The sequence below is a fragment of the Homo sapiens genome, chromosome X, assembly GCF_000001405.40.
Source record: "Homo sapiens chromosome X, GRCh38.p14 Primary Assembly".
NCBI lineage: Eukaryota > Metazoa > Chordata > Mammalia > Primates > Hominidae > Homo > Homo sapiens.
In genome coordinates, this window is record NC_000023.11 from 21,459,620 (window position 1) to 21,486,381 (window position 26,762).

General features: G+C 35.5%; 1 protein-coding gene across 8 annotated transcripts in view; it reads left to right on the forward strand.

Annotated features, from left to right (window-relative positions):
* Positions 1 to 26,762, forward strand: part of CNKSR2 (connector enhancer of kinase suppressor of Ras 2) — a 280,272-nt gene that overhangs the window by 85,202 nt on the left and 168,308 nt on the right. For all 8 annotated transcript variants that reach the window (NM_014927.5, NM_001168647.3, NM_001330770.2 and 5 more), the window contains exon 5: positions 11,147 to 11,188. In NM_014927.5, the coding sequence (NP_055742.2) occupies positions 11,147 to 11,188 (42 nt within the window). The remainder of the gene's footprint in view (positions 1 to 11,146; positions 11,189 to 26,762) is intronic.

Sequence of the window (26,762 nt, forward strand, 5' to 3'; positions counted from 1 at the left end):
CATTTATAATCTTTACATCAGCTGAGTTATATAAATATGTTTATCTGGATTTTTGTAAATTACTGTATCATGATAAATGCTAAACTGCCTATCTTCTTTTTTTCATCACTTTGACCCTGCTTCTCAAAAAACTATGCTTATAGTTCCTTTCCTACTTTGAAATATTTCTTAGAAGACCAGTTTATATAAGTACTCTTACTTGTACATCTAAACTCCTCACATTGTCTTTTTCAACTACTCCATCTCCATTATTAAATTAAAACTGATTTTTAAAGCTTCTTGCTGTCATTTTTCTCTGACTCTTACTTAAATTAGACACTGTTTTTCCCTTCTCCCTTTCCAAAACTCTTTTCTTGTCTCTGTAATATCACTTTCTTCATTTAATCCTGGCCATGGGATTAATTCTTGCTCTGGCTCCTAAACAAGCATTGTCTGAGGTTTTATCCTCAGCCGTCTTCCCACCATACATACTCTGTTCTGGTGAAGTCATCATTGTTGTTTTCTTGTAGCTTTAACTATCCCTTCAATGTCAGTATCTTCAAGATCTGGCTCTGTTTCCATTCTAATTCAGTTTTATCAAATGCTTGCCAGACAATTGTATGTAACACGTTCTGTTTTCAGCCGCTTCTAATTTTATGTGCACAAAATAAAATTGTTTTAATCTCCTCGATTTCCTTTCTCCATCTCTACTATACCATTCATCCATCCATTTCCTCAGGCTTGAACACTTAGAGTAATGTTTAACTTTTCCTTCTCCATTATTTCTTGTTTATTAATTTGCATATTTCAAATTTTTTGTGGATACGTAGTAAGCATATATATTATGGAATACATGAGATGTTTGATGCAGGCATGCAATGTATTCATAATCACATCATGGAAAATGAGGTATGCATCCCCTCAAGAATTTATCTTTCATGCTATAATCCAATTATACTTTTTAAGTTATTTTTAAGTGTACAATTAAATTATTATTGACTATAGTCACACTGTTGTGCTATCAAATACTAGATCTTATTAATTGTTTCTAACTGTATATTTTTTGTACCCATCCCCACTTCTCCTCCACCCCCACTGCTATATTTCCCAGCCTCTGGTAACCATCTTTCTACTCTCTATCTTCATAGGCTCAATTATTTTGATTTTTAGATCCTGCAAATGAGTGAGAACCTGCAGTGCTTGTCTTTAGGTGCCTGGCCTGTTTCACTTAACATAATGATCTCTAGATCCATAGATGCTGTTGCAAATGACTGAATCTCATTTTTAATGGCTGAATAGTACTCCATTGTACTACATTTTCTTTATCCATTTATCTGTTGGTAGACACAGGTTGCTTCAAAATCTTGGCTATTGTGAACAGAGCTGCAAAAAACATGAAAGTGCAGATATCTTTTTAATATCCTGATTTCCTTTCCTTGGGTATATACCCAGAAGTTGGATTGCTGGATTATGTCACAGCTGTATTTTTAGTTTTTTAAGGAACCTCCAAACTGTACTCCATCGTGATTGTACTAATATACATTCCCACCAACAGCGTACAAGGTTCCCTTTTCTCCACATCCTCACCAGCATTTGTTATTGTCTGTCTTTTGGATATAAGCCATTTTAACTGGGGTGAGATGCTATGTCATTTTAGTTTTGCTTTACATTTTTTTGATGATCAATGATGTTGAATACCTTTGCATATGCCTGATGGCCATTTGTATGTCTTCTTTTGAAAACTGTCTATTCAAATCTTTTGCCCATTTTTTAATCAGATTATTAGATTTTTTTTTCTATAGCATTGTTTGAGCTCCTTACAGATTCTGGTTATTAATTGCTTGTCAGATGGGTAGTTTGCAAATATTTTCTCCCATGTTGTGGCTTGTCTCTTCACTTTGTTGATTGTTTCCTTTGCTGTACAGAAGCTTTTTAACTTGATGTGATCCCATTTGTCCATTTTTGCTTTGGTTGCATGTGATTGTGGGGTAATACTCAAGAAATCTTTCCCAAGACCAATGTCATGGAGAGTTTCCACAATGTTTCCTGGCAGTAGTTTCATAGGTTGAGGTCTTAGATTTAAGTCTTTAATCCATTTTTATTTGAATTTTGTATATGGCGGGAGATACAGGTCTAGTTTCATTCTAATGCCCATGGATATCCAGTTTTCCCAGCACCATTTATTAGAGAGACTGTACTTTCTGCAGTGTATATCCTTGGCACCTTTGTTGAAAATGAGTTCACTGTAGGTGTGTGGATTTGTTTCTGGGTTGTCTGCTCTGTTTTTACTGGACTCTGTGTCTGTTTTTATGCCAGTACCATGCTGTTTTAAATACTCTATCTCAGTAGTATAATTTCAAGTCAGGTGTTGTGATTCCTCCAGTTGTGTTCTTTTTGCTTAGGATAGCTTTGGCTATTCTTTTGTGGTTCCGTATACATTTTAGGATTTTTTTTCTATTTTTTCTATTTCTGTGAAGAATGTCATTGGTATTTTGATAGGGATTGCATTGAATCTGTAGATTGCTTAGGTAGTGTGGACATTTTCAGAATATTGATTAATCCAAGAACAAGCAATATCTTTTCATTTTTTGGTGGCTTCTTCCATTTCTTTTATCAGTGTTTTGTAGTTTCCATTACAGAGATCTTTCACTTCTTTGATTATGTTAATTTCTAGATATTTAATTTTATTTGTGGCTATTGAAAATGGGATTATTTTTGTTTTCTTTTTCAAATTTTTCACCGTTGGTATGTAGAAATGCTACTGATTTTTGTATGTTGATTTTATATCCTGTATGTTTGACTAAACTTGATCATCAATTCTAATAGTTTTTTCTTGGAGTCTTTAGATTTTTCCCAATTTAAGATCATTATCATCTGCAAGCAGTGGTAATTTGACTTCTTCCTTCCCAATTTGGATACACTTTATTTATTTCTGTTGCCTAATTGCTCTGGCTAGGACTTCCAGTACTATGTTGAATAGCAGTGGTGAAAGTGGGCATCCTTGTGTTCTAGATCATAGAAGAAAGGCTTTCAGTTCTTCCCGATTATGATATTAGCTGTGAGTCTATCATACATGGCTTTTATTATGTTGAGGTATCTTTCTTCTATACCCAGTATTTTTTTTTTTTTTTTTGAGACAGACTCTCACTCTGTCGCCCAGGTTGGAGTACGGTGACGTGATCTCAGCTCACTGCAACCTCTGCCTCCTGGGTTCAAGTGATTCTCCTGCCTCACCCTCCCAAGTAGCTGGGACTACAGGGGCGTGCCACCACACCCGGCTAATTTTTTAGTAGAGATGGGGTTTCACTGGTGTTAGCCAGGATGGTCTCGATCTCCTGACCTTGTGATCCGCCCGCCTCGGCCTCCCAAAGTGCTGAGATTACAGGCATGAGCCACCGAGTCCGGCTCTATACCCAGTCTTTTGAGGGTTTTTATTATGAAGGGATGTTGAATTGTATCAAATTCTTTTTCAGCATCAATTGAAATGATCCTTTGATTTTTGCCCATCATTCTTTTGGTATGATGTATCACACTGACTGATTTTTGTATGTTGAACCATCCTTGCAACCCAGGAATAAATGACACTTGGTCATGATGAATGACCTTATTAATATATTGTGGAATTTGGTTTGCTAGTATTTTGTTGAGGATTTTTACATCAGTATTCATCAGATATTGGCCTGTAGTTTTCTTTCTTTGGTGTGTCTTTGTCTGGTTTTGGTACCAGGGTAATATTGGCCTTGTAGAATAAGTTTGAGTGCTCCCTCCCCTGCCCCCTCTATTTTTTGGCATAGATTGAGTAGGATTGGTATTTGTTCTTTAATGTTTGGTAGAATTCAGCAGTGAAGCCATTATGTCCCCAGCTTTCCTTTTTGGGAGACTTTTTATTATGGCTTCGATCTCATTGCTTGTTATTGGCCTCCTCAGGTTTTAGATTTCTTCATGGTTAAATTTTGGCAGGTTGTGTGTGTCTAGGAATTTATCTATGATTTTCCAATTTATTGCCATGGATGGATATCGCTGCTGCTAGTTATTCAGGGCCCAAGAGCTTTTCAGTTAGCAGGTGATGCATGCTACCTGGACTGGGTCCTTCCCCTTAAGGCAACAGGTTCCCTTTTGACCCAGAGTGCATCTAGAAATGTCTATCAGGAGCTAGGGCCTGGAAAGGGGGCCTGAGGACTCTGACTGGTACCCTATCCTGCTGTGGCTGAGCTGGTATCCCAAGACGCAAACAAAGTCTTCCCCACTCTTCCATTTCCTCTCCCCAAGTGAAAGGAAGGGGCCTTCTTTGGAGCCACGAGCTATGCAACCTGGGGTTAGGGGAGGGTTGATGCCGGTGCTCCCTTAGCCATCCCAGCTGGTATCTCAGTAAGTTGTGTGCCGCCCCCCTAGTCCACTGTCTCTGGGCCCAGCTTAGCACTAGGACTTGCCTAAGAGTTGCTGTCCTTGTGGCCTAGACGGCTTTTGCAGTTTATTTGGGGCCCCACATCGCTGTAGCCCATGGTGGCGAAGCTTGTGGAAACTCAAGTTCAGATGGCTGGGATTGGTGATTGATTCCCCTCTGGTTAGGACTCGTTTAAATGCTCCCTCCATGGGTGAACATCAGCTGAATTTGGTTCAGTTTTGTTTTCTGCTATAACAACGTCAGAGCTGAGTTTAATGCCTCAGAATTACTGGCTTTCTTTCTCCCCAGTGCACAGAAACACTCTCATCATCAGGCAGCTGCTGCCCAGGTTTGGGGGAAAGGGGGCATTGGCAATTGAAGACTGTTTTTCCTACCTCTTCTGTGCCTCTTTCAATGATATGAAGTTAAAACTAGGTATTGTGAGTACTCACCTGATTTTTGGTTCTTATGGAGATGTTTTTTTCTGTGGAGATAGTTGTTAAATCGGCTGGGGGGACAATCCCTCCTCCACCCTTTCTAGAGATAAAACATCCACTTTAGTATGTCTAGGAAGATACACAACTTTGCGGAGATTCCCATAACTGAGATATGGCACAAAAATTACTCTTAAGGGGCTATGAAGAATGGAACAAGAGATGACTATGGGAGTTGTTAGCTGGACAAGAACATTTCATCTCTACAGACCCCTCAACCCTCACTCACAACTCACATTGCTGTATATCATCAACTATTATATTAGATAGGCTGCCTTGACTTCAACTCTTCCCCAAGGAAAGTCAAGAGAAATTATAAACTGACTGAGTTAAGTTTTTGAAAGAGATTCAAAATGGAAATTAAATTGTTATAGAAAAATTGAAATTGCTTTTCTTTTAAAACAAAAACAAAAATTTTCTTCAACCTAACATTGGTAGCTCTCCATAATATGCCCCATATTATTTTCTCTGCCTTCTTTCCCACTGCATTTTCCCCACATAGCTTAAATTTTAACCAAATCAGTCTGCTTACTTCTTATTGACTGTGCATTTGTTCAGTGTGTTCACACACTTTGAAATGTTCTTTCTCCCTAAACCTTCAAATTCCAGATTTGAAAGCCATTTAGGGCCAGGTAAAATATCATTTCCTTCACTTAGTTAATCCAGGATTATCAGAATTTATCTCCTTTTTAATGGGATCTTTTGTTAGAATTTATCTTATCTACCTTCTATTTGTATTTGAATGTTTTCTCCCCTCCTACTTAATGAAATTGTGATGGCCAAATACCAAGGGTAATTTATCCCTCATTACATAATAGTATCTGGAACTGAATTGCATTTAGATGACAAAAAACATGTTGGTGAACTGAATTGTGACTTCAATAAATAAATGAATGCAAGGAAGAGAGGAAGGCAGGGAGGGAGGAGAAAAAAAAGGAAAGGAAAAGTATAATATTCATTGCTTAAATTAACCCCTTAGGCATGTAAAGACATTTTGATAATAATAGAATATGTTGAAGTGTTGAGTATGAAGGTACCATTATCAAAGGTTTACATAGATGGATTATTTATATATTACTTCTAAGTAAAACAATATTTTTATATTATTTGTAAAAGTATACAATATATACACAAAAATAAGACATATGGAAATTTATGGCATTTATAAAGTTCCATGAAATATAATAGTATTATTATTAGAGATATACACTATTTCCCTTCACTATCTCTCTTTATATATTTACTATTAATAACATATGCACTGTTCTTATGATTATAATATACAATTGATGAGAAATATTACTTGTTCTGAGCATTGTGACCCACCAGGCGCTTAAAACTTGTTGACAAAGTATGGAGCATCAGTGGTAATATGTAGGAGTAAAAATTGTTCTGTTATTCTGCTCAGTATAGCAATTGCATCATTGTTTCACAGAAAGGATAACATTATGATCCTGTGTGGGTGTATAGCTCATCTGTGGGAGGATGTTTCTGTGCATACTTAGTGATCAAAATTCAAGAAACACGCCTCATTTTTATGAATATTTTCTCATTAGGAATTTGGCTCATGTAAATGCATCACATAATTTGTAGAAGCATTATATGGAAAAGGAAAAAGAAGAAATGAATTTTTTTTGCATATACAATAAAAGCTTGAGCTACTGAAGAGAATTCCTGGTAGTATATAGTATCGTGACTGGAAACCCAGTCTTTAAAAACTAAATTTAATTCTAACCTAAAAATAACTGGAATGTCAGAGGTGTACCTTTCCACAGCATGAATAGGTTTGTAAAGTATAGATTTATCCATATGCAATGCTATTTTCTCTTTAAAACTTGAGATATCTTTTGGGAAAGGATTTGGCCCCAAGTATTAATAAAACCCATACTTTAGAAGCAAGTATTTTAAAATCACCTGTTGATGGAAGTAAAATAACTTAGTAATAAATAAACCCCCCCAAAGTACCTAGAGCTATTTAAATACTTAACATGATGAAATGAATGCCATAAAATTACAGCTTAACAAAATATAACATAGTCATTTAGTTTCTATTCTTCTCCCTAATATAAAGTAGCAGGTTAATATGCATTCTCTCTGTTTGGTTTTGTTGTTCTTTTTTTTGTTTTGAGGCAGAGTCTCACTCTGTCACCCAGGCTGGAGTGCAGTGGTGCAATCTTGGCTCACTGCAACCTCTACCTCCCAGATTCAAGCGATTCTCCTACCTCAGCCTTCCGAGTAGCTGGGATTACAGGCATGTGCCACCACACCCAGCTAATTTTTGTATTTTTAGTAGAGACGGGGTTTCACCATGTTGGCCAGGCTGGTCTTGAACTCCTGTCCTCAAGCGATCCGCCCACCTAGGCCTCCCAAAGTGCTAGGATTATAGGCATGAACCACTGTGCCTGGCTTCTATTTTTAATATGCTGCATCCTCACCCTTTGTGGAAAGCCTCTGGGTTTCAATAACTAGCAAGCCGATCTTGCTGAAAGAAGGTAGAGATACAAACAAGTAGAAGCAACTGTTCCACATAAAGAAAGAAATAAGTTTAATGGGAAAAAATAATGAATTGGGGGAACGTGCAATCAAAATACAATTCTGAGGATCTCAGAACTATTTGGAGTGAGCTGGCAGATAATGTTATAAAAAGCAGGTTACCAGTTTATGGATTCTATATATTTGATAATTTTGGGATAGCTTTGGTGTTCCTGTATCACATGGTAATCCTATAAAATAGATCAAGTGTTTCTCGAAATACCATCTTTATAAATATCATCTTGGAGGCCTCACTCTGAATCAACTAGATCCGTACTTCTGGGAATCTGCATTTTAACCCACCCCTCAAATGATTCTTATATATGCAGAAGTAAAATCTGAAAATTACTATAGTAGCTTAACTGAGTGTGGTTACATTGCTTTTGTGATGATGCCATTATTTTCTCTTTCTAAAGACCCACTGTTTCCAAGACCCAGTTAAAAGCCACCTTTCTTGATTTGTTTTAACACAGAGTTTAGTTTCTTCCTCCTCTGCTCCTCTAGCTCCCATAATTGTGCCTTTGTTACACTAATCAAGAGTATCCCAAATCTCTTAATGCAGATTTAAACTTTAATAACTTTACATACGTAAGTGCTACAACCTTACCAAAAACATTATTTAAAATTTATTTAAATTTATTTTACAATCATTTAGTTTTGTTTATTTTAAATAGTAAGTTCTTAATTTTAATATTTATATGTGGCATTTTTTTGGACTGGTAGAAAAACTTGACCACCTCAATCACCTCATATATCTCCCTTAAACTTTCTTTTGCAGGGTCATGTCAAAATAGTTGAGTGTGCACCAATATTTTATTCTTCAAATAATCTTAAATCTAGGATCACAGATGTCATCCTTTCTGTCACTAACCCACAGCTGGTAGAAGTTTTTGAAAAGTTTGAAATTTGACTAGAGCAATGTATAGTACAACCCAGTATACTATATGTTGAATTTTATTTCCTGTTGAATGTTAATAAAAATATATTAATATCTTAAAATTTTAAATAATTGGCCTTTTATCTATTGATTTGTGTAATGGTGTATCATTTATACTTCTAAAGTTAAAAATACTTAAAACAGCATGAATACTTTGAAATTCTGTGTTTTAACTTATTTGTGTGAATTCCTATCTCCCTAAACAGCACTTCTCTAAGTCAGGGGCCATGTTTTATTCATCCTTTTGTCTCTAGTACAGTTGATTAATATTTGCTGAATCAAGGGGAAAAATATGTCTATTTTATATTGTCTAATTAATTTAGTATATTCAATATTATTTAAATATTACTAACTATATTTAGATATAGGTAGCACATTTAAAATGTAATATTAATATAGCATCAAACATATATTTAATAGTATTTGTTGTGTTTCCATCCATTGCAGTTATTATCCTTTTAGATGCTCAAATTGTTCCATGTTTGACTAGGGGGAATCTCTTCATGTTGAGTCCTGAGTCCTACTAAAACAGGAGCCAACTCCTGTGTAGTGGTAGTCTTGACAGATTACTCCTAGTAGTCTTTGATAACTTCCTTCTGTCTTGTATCACAGTATAATCCAAGCTCATCTTGTACGTTTCCTATTCCAGATCTCAAATCAGCCATTTTCCAAGAAGGCTTGGAAATGTGGTTTTAAGACCATAAAGTCTGGGAAGTGTATCATTACTAGGTTGGTCATTGTTCCTATGCCTTTTCAGGGTGCAGTGCTAATAAATACATGCATACATGTATATACATATGTACATAGATAATACTTCAAGAGACTCCAGCATATTATTTAACTTCTTCAATCTTATATATGTGTCTGCTTTATCCCATGCTAAAAATACTTATCAATGACACTGGAGTGATAGAATGGCAGTCACATAATTGTTCAGTTATTCATCTTATAAAGCACACACAGCAGATTCTGCATGACAATAATAATCACAACACTACCATCTAACATCATATGATTACTGAAAACAGTTTAAGATTATTTTAACAGTTCTTTTTGTTGGATCACATTAGGAATGTGCTAGTAAATTTTTATATTTTAAAGATACTTGAAATAGTTACTTTCCGTATGATTATTATCCACTACTAGAGTATACATTCAGATCATGTTTACTTTGTTTACTTTTTTCCTTGAGGAGAATCCCTTTGAAGTTTGAATTTTTAGTCATACCCTCTGATTCTGGGAAGGTAGGCAAATAATGGAATTTGCATACATTGCAGCTGAAGCAAGCTGTAGAAGCAGCATGTGGAAGCTGGGCAAGTTCCCAACTTTTCCCAGATTATCTCTCCTTTGGCATATGAGTCCCTCAGAAAGACAAGACCCAATTCTTAAGTATTTCTGTGAATTTTGTAAAATATACTTAAGTTTTATTTTTAAAACTTTGCCCCGATCTGCATATGTATTTCTTCTGACAAGGCATTGTGGTGAAGTTGCATTATCAAAAATTGTGTTGAACAACATTCCTTTTTTGTTAAAATTAAATTCAGGAAAAAATGAAATGGAGTATCATTTCTTAAAATATTCAGTACTGTGGAAATGGGTTTGTTTTTTTTTTCAAAATTATCCAAATAATAATTAATTTTATTTTTTGAAGTAAAGTTAGTTTTTTAAAGTTAAAATAGCAATGGCCAGGCGCAGTGGCTCACGCCTGTAATCCCAGCACTTTGATCTGCCGAGGCGGGCAGATCATCTGAGGTTGGGAGTTTGAGACCAGCCTGACCAACATGGAGAAACCCCATCTCTACTAAAAATATGAAAAATTAGCCGGGCATGGTGGCACATGCCTGTAATCCCAGCTACTAGGGAGGCTGAGGCAGGAGAATCACTTGAACCCAGGGGGTGGAGGTTGCAGTGAGCCGAGATCACACCACTGCACTCCAGCCTGGGCAACAAGAGCAAAACTGTCTCAAAAAAAGTAAATAAATAAAATAGTGACATTAATACATGGTTAAAATGTATTTATCACTTAATGTATGTCAGATTCTAATGACTTATCTCATTTTGTCACTTAATTCTCACAGCATTTTTATTGGGTTGCTACCAGTATGCCCGTTTTATAAATTTTGTGAGGAAACTGCGCCATAGAAACATTGTCTCTAAGCAAAGATCAGTTTGTTGTATTACTGCTTATTGTATATCAAGTAATTGCAGGTTAAAAGAAAAGACCATGGTGGTTTTTGAAAGAATTTTTTGTAATTTCTGGGACTTAAATTTAGGTGAGAACTATGAACTTGGTAATTATTATTAGTAGATGTATTAATTTTAAGTGTGTACTGTAAAGTATATTTAATAGCTTGCAATAGTTGAAAATATAAAAGTATTTGAGATTTTGATAGGACTATTGAAATAAATGTTAGTGTGTTTTTTAATGTTCTAATCTATAATAAATTAGTATTTGAAATGTTAGGGACATTTCAACAGAATACATTTATCACGTGTAAAAGCTTAGATAGAAAATGGTTACAATATTTTTTCAATATTTGTTTTTAAAAGTCTACTTAATGTATATTGTCCTTTAGTATGTGTTTAAAAGAAGTAAAGTTAGAATATACAGTTAAGCAAAAATAAGGATAGCCTCTGTTACTGACCATCAGAGCTAACCATTATTAATATTTTGGTATGTAGCATCCTAGATTTTTCCTGTTATTATTGCTTTTACTTGAATTGTTAAGACTTTTAAAATTATAGTATAATTTCTAAGAAAATATTTTTAAAAGAATGCTTGATATTTTGAATCTAATGTATATGGTTCTTTTTTTTCAGGATTGTACTGTATATGAAACAGAGAATAAAATTCTTCACGTGGTGAGTATACTTGGATTTATTTTAATCTTTATTAGAGGATATTTCCTTGTTCAACTAGAAGAGGTGAACCATAAGAAAAAAAATCTACTGACCACATCAGTTAAGTGTATTTTTATAGGAAATCTACAAAACAATCAAAGCATAACAAGTTACGTTAGTTATAACCATTCTATTGTACCTAATAGGAGAAAAAAGGTATAATATTTTAAAATTGTAATGTGTAGCAAGGTTGGAATATAATAAAAAATTAATAATGTAGAGCAAGGAGAATTTGAAATGAGAATTTCTTTTACTGTTCATCTATTACAAAAAAGATCAGAGAAAGGTATTCTGTTCTATAATGGGTAATTCATCTCTATCATCATTTGGATGAAATACTTTATTAAAAAAATCAAATTTCCTTTGCTCCAATTCTATACCTACGAGACAACCTTTCAAATGGTAATATGGCAATATTTTTGAATCAGTTAATGACTTTACATATATTTTATTACTAGAAATGGGCTACGCGTACATTATACTTTGTGGAAAGGCCATCTCCTGCCTTCTTAATGAACAGTTGGCCACTTTTATTTGTAAATGCATTTCTTGATCAATGCTAGTTTGTCCTAATAACTTCTTCACCTCTGGTGTGTGTGAAATCATGTCATTTCTGCATCTGCCAGGTACTAGGCGGTGAAGATCCATATGTCTGTAAAAGGACATTTGCCTCATTTATTCCTAATATCAGTCTATTAAGTTTTATGTTTCTGAAATGTTTGAATATTTATAAAAGAATACTATTTTGTATTTAGAAAAGGAAATACTTTTAAAACATCTAAACGTATGGAGGGAAAATATTACTTCAGAATATCAGCAGTACAGCATCCCTATTCCTTTTTTGTTATCTGTTATAGAAATGATACTGAATAATCCTCTGCTAATCCTCTCCCCCTCATTGTGCAGTAGTGATGCCCTTTGTGGTTTATAAGAATAGTCTCAGGAGTGGATAATTAATTTACTTTTCTCCTTATTAGTCCAGGAGGGAAAATAATTACAACTCCCTCACGTTGATCTACCTGTAGGGCCTGGAGAATAGAAAGACACTAATATTTATTTAGGGCCTATATATTTCAAGTATTAGCTTAATTTCTTATAAGCATATTCTCTCATTTAATCCTACTTTTGCAGATGGTGGAACTAAGGGTCACAAATATTAAGTTGTTCAACTATTCGGTTTGAACACAGAATCTAATACCAAAGCCCATGCCCTTTCCAGATCTGGCAGTTGCTACCAATTCTAGCTCCCTGAGGCTTTACAAATTGTACTATCTTTTTTCCCGTGGAACCCAGGGCTACTGTCTAGCTGTGCCTATTTTGTCAATAACTAAGGAGCATGCACAGACCCTTTCCCACCTACATTTTATTTTCTGTGAGTGACTGTTTCTTTAGCATTGAATTTTCTATGACAATGACTGTTCTTTCTGAAGTATTGAATTTACTGAATTCGACTTTGGTATGCTGCTGTGGGTTCTTCATTGTGTTTACTTCAAGGCTGTTATTGAGGTCAGTGTGTGTTAACATTTTTTTCTTTATCAAGTTTCTCAGGAGTAATCTCCCTGATGTTAGTATCAAAAAGAGCTGTACTTTTCTTCATGCATTGGCTGCTACGAACTTAAGATTAAAATTTGTGGCCCATAATTGACAAGTGCATCTCATGGTATTTGTTTTGTATTTAGCTTCATTCTTGGCTCTACATGATTTCTTTTTGCCTTGTTTTTCTCAATTTATGTATGGTATATATTTTTACATCTGTTGATGTAGCCTTTTCTATGGAGGAATAGTTCCAGTTACAAATGCACATTTGTGATCAATATTCAAATATCAACAAAGGAAATGTAAATAATTTATGGAAAAAGAATCTCTAGAGAACTGTAAAAAATATGAAATTTTATTTCTGAGGAAATTTCAGATTCTACCATATGACAGAATAACAGAAATAGATTTAAATGATGAAAGAAATACTGTGGGATTTCTCTTGTACAAAAGACTTTAAATATAATTTTAATTAATTAGACTAAGGAAATAATCTCTTTGGGGTTATAAAATGATGAATGAAATTTTATTAAATAAAAACCATAATAAGTAATAGCCAAATTTTAAAAGTTCTTAATCACTAAATATTTTTAATTTTAAATAATTTTAAAATAATAAGTAATTTTTAGTTTCTTAAATAAATTCCTAATAATTGACTCATATTGACTTTATCTTTCTCAAAAGCCAGATTCTGGGCTACTTGCTATTAGAAATAAGTAACAGCATAAATAGTACTGAAGGAGTTTAGAAATGAATGCCGTATATTTACCTTGGCAATTTTGCATTCCAGCTAGTGAGAATTTAAAAATCCTGTCTGATGATGATGACAACAGTGAATGGCATTAACCAAATCAGTTCATCTCAGAAAGCACTTGTCTTTTCATGTTATTCTTCTACTTCCCATCCTGACGTTTTTATACAAAGATTACCCAGCCTTTACCAAAAGGTTGTATGTATACTTGTATATTACTTTTTTCACAAGAATAATTTTTTAGAATAATAAAATAGTATACAGTACCACTTAGTATATGAGGCTAGAATAGTTTCTTTAAAACAAAATTTCTAGAATAAGTATCTTTCTAGATCTCTATAGTGTAGAAGAAATAACTTTGAGTCTAAAAAACTGTCTGAATCCTAATTCTACCATTTTCTATCTCGGTGAGCTGAATCAAGTGATGTTTTTGAGAGTTTGTTCTTATTATGTAAAATGGGGATATTAATATCTTTCATGAATGATTGTTGCTAGGATAAAATAAATCAGTAAGTTTTCTAGACAGAGCTTTATAATCTGGTAGTTCTCTTTCCAGTATTTATTTTTTAGGTTATATCTCATTATTTAGGTTTTTTGTTGTTGTTGGTTTGGTTTTTTTTTTTTTTTTTTTGAGACAGAGTCTCGCTCTGTCACCCAGGCTGGAGTACAGTAGTGCGATCTTGGCTCACTGCAAGCTCCATCTCCCGGGTTCACGCCATTCCCCTGCCTCAGCCTCCCGAGTAGCTGGGACTACAGGTGCCCACCACCACGCCCGGCTAATTTTTTTTGTATTTTTTAGTAGAGACGGGGTTTCACCGTGTTAGCCAGGATGGTCTCAATCTCCTGACCTCGTGATCCACCCACCTCGGCCTCCCAAAGTGCTGGGATTACAGGAGTGAGCCACTGTGCCTGGCCTATTTAGGGTTTTTAATATCTTCTTTCTCTCCTTTTTATATGGACCAGTAAATCAAAAGCCAGAGTTTTTATATAGCTTGTTTAGGATGCAATTGTGAGTTAGTTTTAATGTTTTCCTTGTTTCTATGATACTTGAATATTCTAAGTACAATATGATTTATAATGGCTCCTTTTCAAAGATGAATTAATATGTATTGTATATGAGCATCTTAGCCTGGGTTCTTTCTGGAAAACAGAGCCTACAACAAGGCTCGAATGCAGATAGTTTGTGTTGATTAGTTATCCCAAGACTCAGAAGAGACACTGGGAAGGAGAATCAATATGGGTTCTAGAATTGTTCACCACTATAGGGAACTGAAGTTCGATCCCATCGGGACCTTCTGAGAAGCCCTGCAGAATTTGCCTTGGAATTGTCCAACCTGCCTGACAAAAACTGAAGAGGGAGAATGTATCTGCTGGCTCTAATCCAATTATCCCATTGGTCAAAGCTTGCTCCTTGGGGTGTTAACTCTCTCACACTACCAGGTTTTTGGAGGTACCAGAGAGCTCTAGGACAGAAAGCAAAGGTAGTGCAACTGAAGTGAAGCAGATTGCCACAGCAGTAGCTGGAGAAAAAAGTGGGCTGAGTGGGTATGAGATGGGGCTTAAGGGGTGTCTGGTATAATGAAACGCCTCTAAGTGGCAATCCAAATTTTAAAGTATTTTGGATCACATAAAGTATCCTGATAGTGACTGAAATCAAGATTTGCATAACTCACAAAAGCAAGCTTCAAACAGTAGACATAACATAACTTTTGTGTAAAAAAGCAGTGTATTTATAGTGAAGAAAATAATTTCAAGAACTATGCAACAGACTTAATGTTGGTTGTCTTTGCAAGGAATAGGATAAATTTTAGAGGCATTAACTTTAAATTATGTGTTTGTATAATGGTTAAATATAGCATAACAAATATGTGTTAATCAGAAAAAAGTAGTACTAAAATATCCATAGAAATGCCTGAATAGCAACCCAAAATCTAGATTAAAAATGAGTATTTTATTGTTAGATACAATGAATTAGATCTACTACTTGATAGCACAACAGAGTGACTACAGTCAGCAATAATTTGTTGTACATTTTAGAGTAACTGACGGAGTATTACTGGAATGTTCATAACACAAAGAAATGATAAATGCTTGAAGTGATGGATACCCCCATTTACCCTGATGTAATTATTCACATTGTATGCCTGTATCCAAATATCTAATGTACTCCATAAATACCTAATGTATACCTACTATGTACTCAAATTTTTTCTAAAAAATAAGTATTTTTAACAAATGAGTAAGAGTTTCAAATGGGTAAGGAGTGAAAACAGTGCCAGTAGCCAACCATTGACTAACCTAAAGAACATGGCTGAAATCTTTCTAATGCCAGGCAGATTTAGAATCCTATGTAATATATTAATAGTTCTTAGGAACCTTTTCACTTTAGTACACTGGACTGTGAGTTAAATAGGTTTTTAGAACATCCCCAGTGATGGCTGCCATTTAGAAGGAACAAGGAGACCCCAGATGACTGAATAGAGATTATAGTAGCTTGAGATAGGCGCTAGAACATCAACTGTCTTAGCCTAAACCCTACCCCTAAATCTTTATTTTGTCCAGAGGATAGGGAAGGCAGTTTTCAAGAGGAAGGAGAACTTATCACTTATGAAAACTTGTTATAGCCTAGGAATTCCACAAGGCAATACAGGTTGATTGTCCCTTATCTGAAATGCTTGAGATTAGAAGTGTCTCGGATTTCGGATTTTTTTGGATTTGGGAATATTTGCATGATATACTTAACAGTTGTCACTAATCTGAAAATACTAAACCAAAATGCTCCAATGAGTGTTTCCTTTGAGCATCATGTCAGTGCTCAAAAAGTTTCTGATTTTCGGATTAGAGATACTCAACCTGTACGAGTGTCAGAGTGCCCTTCAACACATGGGCAAACTGAGAGAGCTGAGGTTGTGAGGTGGTGTATCTTTCCCTGAAATAGATCTGTATTTAAGGATGGGTAAAGAAAAAGAATGGGTAAGAGGAGAGGAAGTATCCTCTAATATATTAGAAGAAAATCCTTCCACATGAAGTAGGTTTATTATGAACACTTGTTTAATGTTTTCAGTTGAGCCAAAAGATATTACCTGTATTAAAAAAGAATACCATACTATAAAGAAGGTAAGGTCACTATAAACTGAGAGCAAAGTGAACTAAGAAAATAGTACATTAAACTAACATGGAAGCAGAAAATAAACCATGGAGAAAGCATGTATCTTCCCAATTTTTTTCAATTAATTTGCATTTCTTTCATAATGAAAAAGTATAAAAGTATGTATTTATTATAGTATAGTTAGAATTCTGATTGCTTATAATGGATGATTTTATAGTACATATATTGAACTAGTCAGAAGGGACTTGGACAATCCTCAGGCTACATTTTCTGTTCACTTTTCTCACCTCTAAAATTGGAGAGAGTCTTTCTGCTTAAAATCAGAAAGAAGTAGGCTGTGAGGACCAAAATCCCTGGTGGGAAGGGAGATTGGTTGCAGTGTTGGGCAGGGATGTCTGTTAATATGAAGTGTGAGAATGAATAAAAGGAGACTGAACATCTTGGGTTTCCTTTGAATTTGCCATTAAGTATAATGGAACAGACAATAGAATACAACCATAAAGGACAAAAGGCAATACAGATAATCAATATAGTATATATCTCAGTGATTATCGACTAAAGATAAATAATATTATGTTTCACTTCTATTGATCTGATCTTTTCCTTCCAGTTAGTTTTTGTTCTGGATTACACATTCTCTGGCAGGTTAGAGCCCATCTGTTTTGCTCTGTGCAGATCCTTGTTTTATATAACAAATGAGTTACAGAGAATCTGGAATTTTCAGTTCTATACTCTACTTACTCCTCACTCCTGCCTTTCAGTACACCCATTGAGTCTGGAGTGATAAGCTCTCCTGAGAAGTCATTTCAGAGCTTGTGCTTTAGCAGACTTCCTCTGCTTGTCCCTGCCCTGCCATTCTCATTGGTGAGCCTGGAACACTTGTCGGCTTTGATTAAACTCATGGAAATCCCAGGCCAGGCGTAATCATTAAGGTCACATTGTTTAAATCAGATTGTTCTGAGCTCACAAACACCTTTTACATTAGCCAAAGGTATGGCCTTGTATATGGCACTTTGTATTTTAGCATTTTACCCCATTGCTTTTGTAAAGATAATAAATACTGCAAATGCCTATTTTATTATTTTAGTGTTAATATTATCTTCTAGTTATATAGTACTTTACAGTTTACAGAACATTCTCAGGAATGCTTTCTTCTCTTTTTTCTCTTTTTTTTTCTCCAAGCTATTTTTTTCTTTTGTTACTTAGGTTTGATCATGAATTAGGCTTATTTTGGCATGTTAAGTATTTGTTTTATTTCATAAACATTCTTTGTAATTTTTTCCTTTCTTTAAATTTATGAATTCCTTGCCCTTAAACTCCATCTGGAGTGAGATTATTATGTCTTCTCTGGTATCCAGACTAGAAATAGCTTAAACTGCATAGAGCCAACAGTTAGATGTAAGAGAGGATCCTGGAGGAGAAAGTAAAGGGCTCATTTTAGTCTTTTCCCTGACATCTACATCATATCATTTATGAAAGTATAGCTTTCCTCTTCTGATGGATCAAAACCTTGAGGATGTGTTTAAGTACTGGTGTAGCAGCATACCCCAAAGTGAAATAAAAGTGATCATATTAATGTTAATAGCTTATCTTTAGAGATTTCTTGAAAACAATGGTACTCTAGTGACTTAAAAATCCCTGAAGATAATTTTAACTCGTCTTCAGGAGGTTTCTGATGCTGTGATGAAGCAGCTTTTGCCAGTTGTAGCCCAGACTCTTCTAAAAGCTATGATCTTGATCCAAATGCAAACTGAATTTTTTTTCAGTATGGTTGAGATTTTGTTGGTAACTGTAGCATTTGAACATATAAATTATGGTCAGTCTCACTAAAACATCAACTCTAATACTGAGTTTTATAGATGAAAAACGTAAGATGCTTCTTTATGTTTTCGAAGTTAAGGTCACCCTTCTGTCTCAGCCCCCTTTATTATCTTTGTGGTCAGCCTGAAGAAATGTGCTAACAATATTGCTGAAATAGGCGTTGGATTCTTTGGTGTCATATTATATTATTTTCAGATTTTGACACTTTGGTGGTTAATTGCATTGTAAATTATTTTAACTATAAATTCTCCACAACTGATGCCTCATGCAGGAAAGGAAAAATGAGAAATCCAGATATAACATGATAGAGGTGGAAAATGTTTGTCTTTCCTGGGACAAAAAGAAAATGTGTGTGGCCTATGTGAAGAATTAAAATAATCTGGTTTTAGTGTTTCTGATTATGATTTAGGTAGACATTTTATAAGGCAGTATATTTATTTATATAGGTGTTTTTGCTAACATTACATTTGCTGAACACATTATGCATTGCAAGATGCTTCCATATTCATACTGACTCTGAAAGTACAATTCTTGTCCTCACAGTAGTATTCATTTTTGTTGGGGAGTCAAGTGAGGTAGAATAATACAGTAGAAAGAGCAGCAATCTGAGAGTTAAAAGGATAGGTGTCCTGACCCCATTCTGGCATTTACTAGCTGTAAAGAAGCTAAGTTAGCCTTTCTGACTAAGTTGAGGGCTTGGAGTATCTGTGACTTTTAAGGTCTAAATGCCATAATTCTTAGATGACAAATTCACAAGATCATTAGAAAGCAGTATGGCCACATAAAGCGATAAATTGAAGAACTGTCTTTATTTGAGACCACTGTATATATGACCAAGGACACTATATATTTTTAAAAATAAAGTTAGCAGGCACATATTCAGTTTTGATACATGGGCATATTGCATAGTGGTGAAGTCTGGGCTTTTAGTGTAGCCATCACCTGAATGGCGTACATTGTAACCATTAAGTCATTTCTTACCCCTTACCCCCTCCTACCGTTCCACTCTTCTAAGTCCCCAGTGTTTATCATTTCACATTCTATGTCCACATGTATACACTTTTTTTAAGCTCTCACTTATACGTGAGAACATGTGGTATTTGACTTTCTGTTTCTGAGTTATTTCACTTAAGATAATGGCCTCCAGTTCCATCCATGTTGCTGCAGAAGACATGATTTTATACTTCTTATGGCTCAGTAGTATTCCATGGTGTGTGTATACACACACACACACAGAGACATATATGTACACACATATATATCACATTTTAATCCAGTCTGTTGATGGACACTTAACTTATTTAGTTCCTTATCTTTGCTATTGTGAATTTTGATATAATATTTGTTTTCCTTTGGGTAGATACCCAGTAGTGAGATAGCTGGATCAATGCTATATATTTTTTTAAAGTGCAATTATAGTCACTGTCAATGTAAAGATTTCTTCCACAAGGTAATTGAATCAGTCTGGAAACAGAAGCCACACAGTAACTTAAAGGAAGTTTGATATAAATAATTATAAATTATGATAAGAAATACCTGCAAACAGGTAAAGAGCGCCCTAAACCATGTCCTACAACTGAGGAATAGTACCCAAGGAAGGATATCTTTTAAGTGGAACACCCTTCCCAAGGCTGAGAAGGTGTGGCTGCAGCTTCATTGGGTTGCATAGATCAGAGCTTATCCACAGTTGCCAGGCAAGTGGAAGACAACCTTCGAGGATGTAGGCAAATGATGCTGCTGGGAAGGTTCACAGCAAGAGTTAGGATGATGCTGTGAGTAAGAGGTCTGGAGAGCATGCTGAGATAGCCTCAGGATGGTGATCACTGAGCCCAGGCTGAGGCTGCAATGTCACTGTGGGACTGCATGATCTGGACATGTGGCTGGGGCACAGCACTACCGATATCCCCACACACATGCACTGCTAGTGGACCCTGCAACAGGAACAAGAAAAAAATAAAAGAATGCCCATGGGAACCTAGAAGCCTTCTTCTCCTTGCAGTGTCCCTCCACTGCCCTCTATTGACAAAAACTTAACATTGTGCTTACTGTACAAGATAAATGCTTAGAGTCCAATCCATTGTCACAGAGCAAGCACTGAAGGATGAATTGAGCTGAGAGCCACAAAACTCATAACTGACACAGTGTGGTTAGCTCTTACCTCCATAAAACTACATATAGCTACTTCACATTTCTTGACTATAAGTGAAGACATCGCTCCCAGGTCTCTGCCGTTTGGTCCCTATTTATCCATAAAGTGTATATATATAGTGCCTTAAATTTCCAGAAGCTTATCTAATTATAATGAACTGCTTCACTCTTGCTATTTGAATATAAAATCCAAGCTAAAATCAAAACATTTTTCTAATAACCTACATCTTAGTTGAGCTATCAATATGTCCAGTCTGTTCTTTTTCTTGAGCCTGAAAGTCATGTGTCCTCTAATGAGTGATCTCTCATCTTCTTCGGAACCTGCCACAAGCCTGCTTGTCTCTGTTTCCTGCCTATGAAACAGCAGATAAATAGAATTGAGATTTTCCCAGATCCAATTCTGGTTTCCAGCTTACTCTATTTCCCTATCAGAAGTGAGAGTAGTGGTGGAGCCTCTTGTCCCAACTCTTAATTCATACCAGATTGTTTCAGGTAAGTAGCTGAAAGTAGGCTCGAAGTGTCATGGGTGAACTTCTTACTCATCAAAGGTGTACATTTGGGACTGACATTTTCTCACTGTTTTGGCATTGACCTTATCATTCTTAGATGATTATTATCTTAAAGTGTAATTTTTAGGCTGTATTATTATCTCAATGTTGGGCTCACTAGGCATTAAAATATTTGATATTTACTTGCCAAACAATGTTCAAAGCACAGTGGTTAAGCACGCAGGAACTGAAGCAAAACTGCATGATTGTAACTTGGCTCTGCCATTTAAAAGTTGAGTGACCTTGAGCAAGTTTTTAACATCTTTGTGCCTCCATTCCTACATCTGTACAATAGAGATAATAGCAGTATTTCCTTCTTAGGGAGGTTGTGGGGGTTAAATTTGTTAATACATGTAAATGACTTAGAAGAATACTTAGAATATAGTAAGCTTTCAATAAATATCAGTTATTGTTTCATTTAGTCCTCCTCACTATACAGTGAGATCGGTATTATTTTTGTCCCAATTGTATACATAAGGAAACTGAGGCACACAAAAGGATTAAACAACTTTCCCCAGATCATGGAGCTAGTAAGTGGTGAAGTTACTATTCAGTCTGAGGCTTTTAATCACTATACTATAGCTGACTCTGTAGATGACCTCGAAATCTAATTCTAAGGTCATAAATTATAGACATTTAATTTCAGTGACTTTCTTTTGTCTTTCTATTGATAATTTTCCTTTGGCATTCATGGTAGACAGGATTCTAAGATGACCCCCAGGACCCCTGTCCCCTGGTATATAACTGCCCTCTTCTTCAGTGTGGTTGAGACCAGGGAATACAATGAATTTCACTCTCATGATTAGGTTTTGATCTATGGCAAAGGTGAAGGAATTTCAAGGATGTATTTAAGGTCTCTTGTCAGTTGACTTTAATATAATTAAAAGAGAGATTATCTTGGTGGGCCTGACCTTATCATGTGAGCCCTTTAAAACAAGATTCAAAGGAGGCAGATATTCTCTTGCTGGCCTTGAAGAAATCAGCTGCCATGTTGTGAGAGGGCCTGTGTAGGGAGTCACGCAGTGAGGACCTGAGGACAGCCTCTGGGAGTTGAGAACAATCTCCAGATGACAGCCAACAGGAAAGTGGGGACCTCAGTCATACAGCCACAAGGAAGTGGATTCTGCTGACAACCTGAATGAACTTGAAAGCAGATTCTTCCCTACTTACACCTCCCTGTAGGAATACAGCCAAGTTGACAGCTTGGTTTCTGCCTTGTGAGACCGGGGACTGGTTCCAGTGCCTGGACTCCTGAGCCATGGAAACTGAGAGAATGTGTGTTTCTTTAAGCCTCCAACCTTGTAGTAATTTGTTACACAGCTATAGATACCTAATACAGTATCATTAATTTAAATTTCAACTCAAGAAGAACAAAAACAAAAAATGTATTTTTTAAAGCCAAAGAGAGACTAGTAGCCAGCAGAGAATAAATACGAGAACAATTCTTTTGAGAATTTAAATATAAGGTACTATATTGCCTCCTAACTTATTTGATTCATGTCTTATTTATTATAAATACTTTTTTGATTAGAGGCAACAACATGTCATTGTGAAAAGAACATTTGACTAAGCATCAGCACTTCTGGGTTTTAGTCTTGACTTTTCCATGAACTTTGTTGTGTGACACTTAACCTCTCATGGATCCCCGAGTGTCATTCAGGAAGATTAAACAAAATGATTTCAAATCATCTGTCTCAAAATTCTGTGAATATAAGGATTTAAGTAATTAGAAGCTTGTAGTAACAGGACTAACACTGTCAATAAGCTTTAGGACCTTTAAGTTTTAATGTGGGAAAATGTAAGAAATTAGGAGGAAATTATGCTTTTAAGATCATGAATTTTGACTTACTAATTTTAACGCATAATAGGCTGTTAGGGGTCATTGCTTCTTTTCTGTTATCAGGAACACAAGGGCAGCATGCTCAGTGTCAGTGATGGTAAGCACAAAACCAAATACATTAGCAGAAACACTGTCCCAGGCTATGAAATTCTTGAGTGTAGTAGTTGGCGTTTGAATCATGTAACAGACACTTAGTGATTGTTGAAGGCATGAATGGCTTAATGAAGGCTGGTGATTTTTGTTGTGTTTTTCCCCACCATGAGAGTTTGACATGTAAAGGGATTGTAGGAGTTTTCCAGGCCTTATTGGGATGAAGTTCACATGACCTTTATTTACTTGCAACTATTTGCTTTCTCAAGCTATTTGAAAATCTTAGTCTTTGCTGTATATAAATATAATTTTAATATTGGGTTAAAATTGGAATTTTATTCTATTACATTAGTTTTTCAAGTTTAAAAAGTTTTTCTCCTTCAATTCTCTGTACTCGTATGAACAAGAAATTCTTCCTGTGTTGCACGTATGTTTATTACGGCATTACTCACAATAGCAAAGACTTGGAACCAACCCAAATGTCCAACAGTGATAGACTGGATTAAGAAAATGTGGCATATGTACACTATGGAATACTATGCAGCCATAAAAAATGATGAGTTCACGTCCTTTGTAGGGACATGGATGAAGCTGGAAACCATCATTCTCAGCAAACTATCACAAGGACAAAAAACCAAACACTGCATGTTCTCACTCATAGATGGGAATTGAACAATCACTCATAGGTGGGAATTGAACAATGAGAACACTTGGACACAAGAAGGGGAACATCACACACTGGGGCCTGTTGTGGGGTTGGGGGAGCGGGGAGGGATAGCATTAGGAGATATACCTAATGTAAATGACAAGTTAATGGGTACAGCACACGAACATGGCACATGTATACATATGTAACAAACCTGCACGTTGTGTAAATGTACCCTAGAACTTAAAGTATAATAAAATATATATATATATATATATATAAAAGAAATTCTTCCTGAGTTGGAGAATGTGTATATGGAATAATAATTTTAAATACTAATTTAAATTCTGTTTCTGAATGTTACTCTTTCAAAGTTACCTATGATTGTTCAACAGTTGTGTCTTGTTAGGGAACCATCATAAGAGTGCAAAATTTCTAGCTCAACAGAAATCTGTCAAGTACTAAGATACTAAACATACTATATTTAGTGAGGCGTATACTTACAGTTCTCACAACTTAATATCAGAATAAATGTATGATATTTTATAAAAAACAAAGCCTCCCTTGTTCCCCCAGTACAATGCACATGTCATCCTACATTGGCACAGAGTTGCAGAACTTATAATACTGAATTATACTAATATTCAAATAAAACAATAAAATAAAAACATACTGGCTGGGTGCAGTGGCCCATGCCTGTAATCCCAGCACTTTGGGAGGCCGAGGCAGGCAAATCACGAGGTCAGGAGTTCAAGACCAGCCTGGCCAACATGGTGAAACCCCATCTCTACTAAAAATACAAAAAATTAGCTGGGCGTAGTGGTGCGCACCTGTAGTCCCAGCTACTTGGGAGGCTAAGGCAGAAGAATCACTTGCACCGAGGAGTCAGAGGCTGCAGTGAGCTGAGATTGCATCATTGCCCTCCAGCCCTGGCGACAGAGTGAGACTTCGTTTCAAAACAAAACAAAACAAAACAAAACAAAACAAAACAAAAACCCATACTTTATTCTTTAGACATTTTAATTGAAATATTATTTATATCAATAAATATTTAAACATGTACACAACTGTTTATCAAAATAAACTTTCATTACTATTTTCCATGCTATTGATAATAAGCCTGAATTGTTTAAACTGTATTTAAATTGTAACTTTCACATCATTGTTGCCATCTTAAGATGTATATCTATCTGTTGCTTCCTTAATTTATCTTGATTTTATATTTTATACTCTTATTCCTTGTATATACGTATATACCCAAAAAGTATAAATTTCTTTTTGTAAAGCTTTTTTTAACCTTATCAGCCTTGAGTTCTTTCCTGCATCAAATGAATTTTCTGACTTTTTAAACTAAAGATATTTTTATTCATTTGTTCCAGTATACTTGGAAGAATAATTGAACAGTACCCCACTTACTTAGAAAAGCAAATAAAAATACTTTAAGTAGCTCAATAATGCCTAAGTGTGCTTCCAGACTGACATAAGAGTTTTTTCTGTCCCTTAGCTTTTTACCACTGTTTGCACTTAGAACACTTTCTGCATTTCTTTTTTAAAAAAACAATAGCTGGCCAGGCGTGGTGGCTCACGCCTGTAATCTTAGCACTTTGGGAGGCCAAGGCAGGCGAATCATGAGGTCAGGAGTTCGAGACCAGCCAGGCCAACATGGTGAAACCCCATCTCTACTAAAAATACAAAAAATTAGCGGGGTGTAGTGGCAGGTGCCTGTAATCCCAGCTACTCGGGAGGCTGAGGCAGGAGAATAGCTTGAACCCGGGAGGTGGAGGTGGCAGTGAGCCAAGATCATGCCACTGCACTCCAGCCTGGGCAACAAAGTGAGACTCTATCTCAAAAAATAATAATAATAACAATAGTAGCTAAAACTTCATGTATTAATCTTAAAAGTATCTGATAAATTCAGATATAATGAAAGAAATCTATTCAGACATAATGAAAGAATGCTATCTTATTATTGGTTAATGTCTTAATGTGGGATTATTATTTTTTGAATCCCCACATTAAAATGTTGCTTTATTTTGTGCTAAATATGCTCTGCTCTGATCTTTTTCCCCTTTAAAGCTTATATTTAGGTAAACCAGCGTGTATGTGTGTGTGTATATATATATGTATGTGTGTGTGCGTGTATGTGCAGATAGATAGTATAGAACAGAATACAAAAACTTTGCATTTCAGCCTGAGAATATGATGTATTATATTCATATTTGAAATTAATATAAACTACCTGAGAAAAAAAACACACAATACCATAAAATTCAGCATATGACACTCTTCAGTTTTAAAAGATTAAGTCATGGCTACCCTTGTCTGTTATTCAGTCATTAATCCTTTGTCACCTTGGGTAGTTTATAACAGAATCCAGAAAGTCAGTTAAACATTTATTTCCATTTCATGTTCTCTGTAGCTTTTTTAAGGCATATCATTTACTATTCTTTAATTTTAGGTACAAATTTTTCTTCTATTTTTAGAAATAAAGATAAATATAATTTAAAATACCTCGGGGGCTGGGTGCAGTGGCTCACGCCTGCAATCCCAGAACTTTGGGAGGCCGAAGTAGGTGGATTACCTAAGGTCAGGAGTTAAAGACCAGCCTGACCAATATGATGAAACCCCATCTCTACTAAAAATACAAAAAGTAGCCGGGCGTGGTGGCGTGAGCCTGTAGTCCCAGCTGCTCAGGAGGCTGAGACAGAATTGCTTGAACCCGGGAGGCGGAGGTTGCAGTGAGCCGCCACTGCACTCCAGCCTGGGCAACAGATCGAGACTCCATCTCAAAAATAAAATTAAAATAAAATAAAATAATTTGATATGAATATTGCGAAAATAGCAAATAATAACAGTGGTTACTAGTCATCTTCTAGCTAGTATAGAGTTGTCCTTTTGCTGGTAAAATTGCTCTAAGTTTTCCCAGACAGCCATGTCTTTCACAGTCTCAGTTCTAATATTCCTTATCTAAACTACATTCTAAATTGCAAGAACACTTGCAAGCCTGCCTTATATTTTGTTATACTATGTAGTTTAAACATGTTAT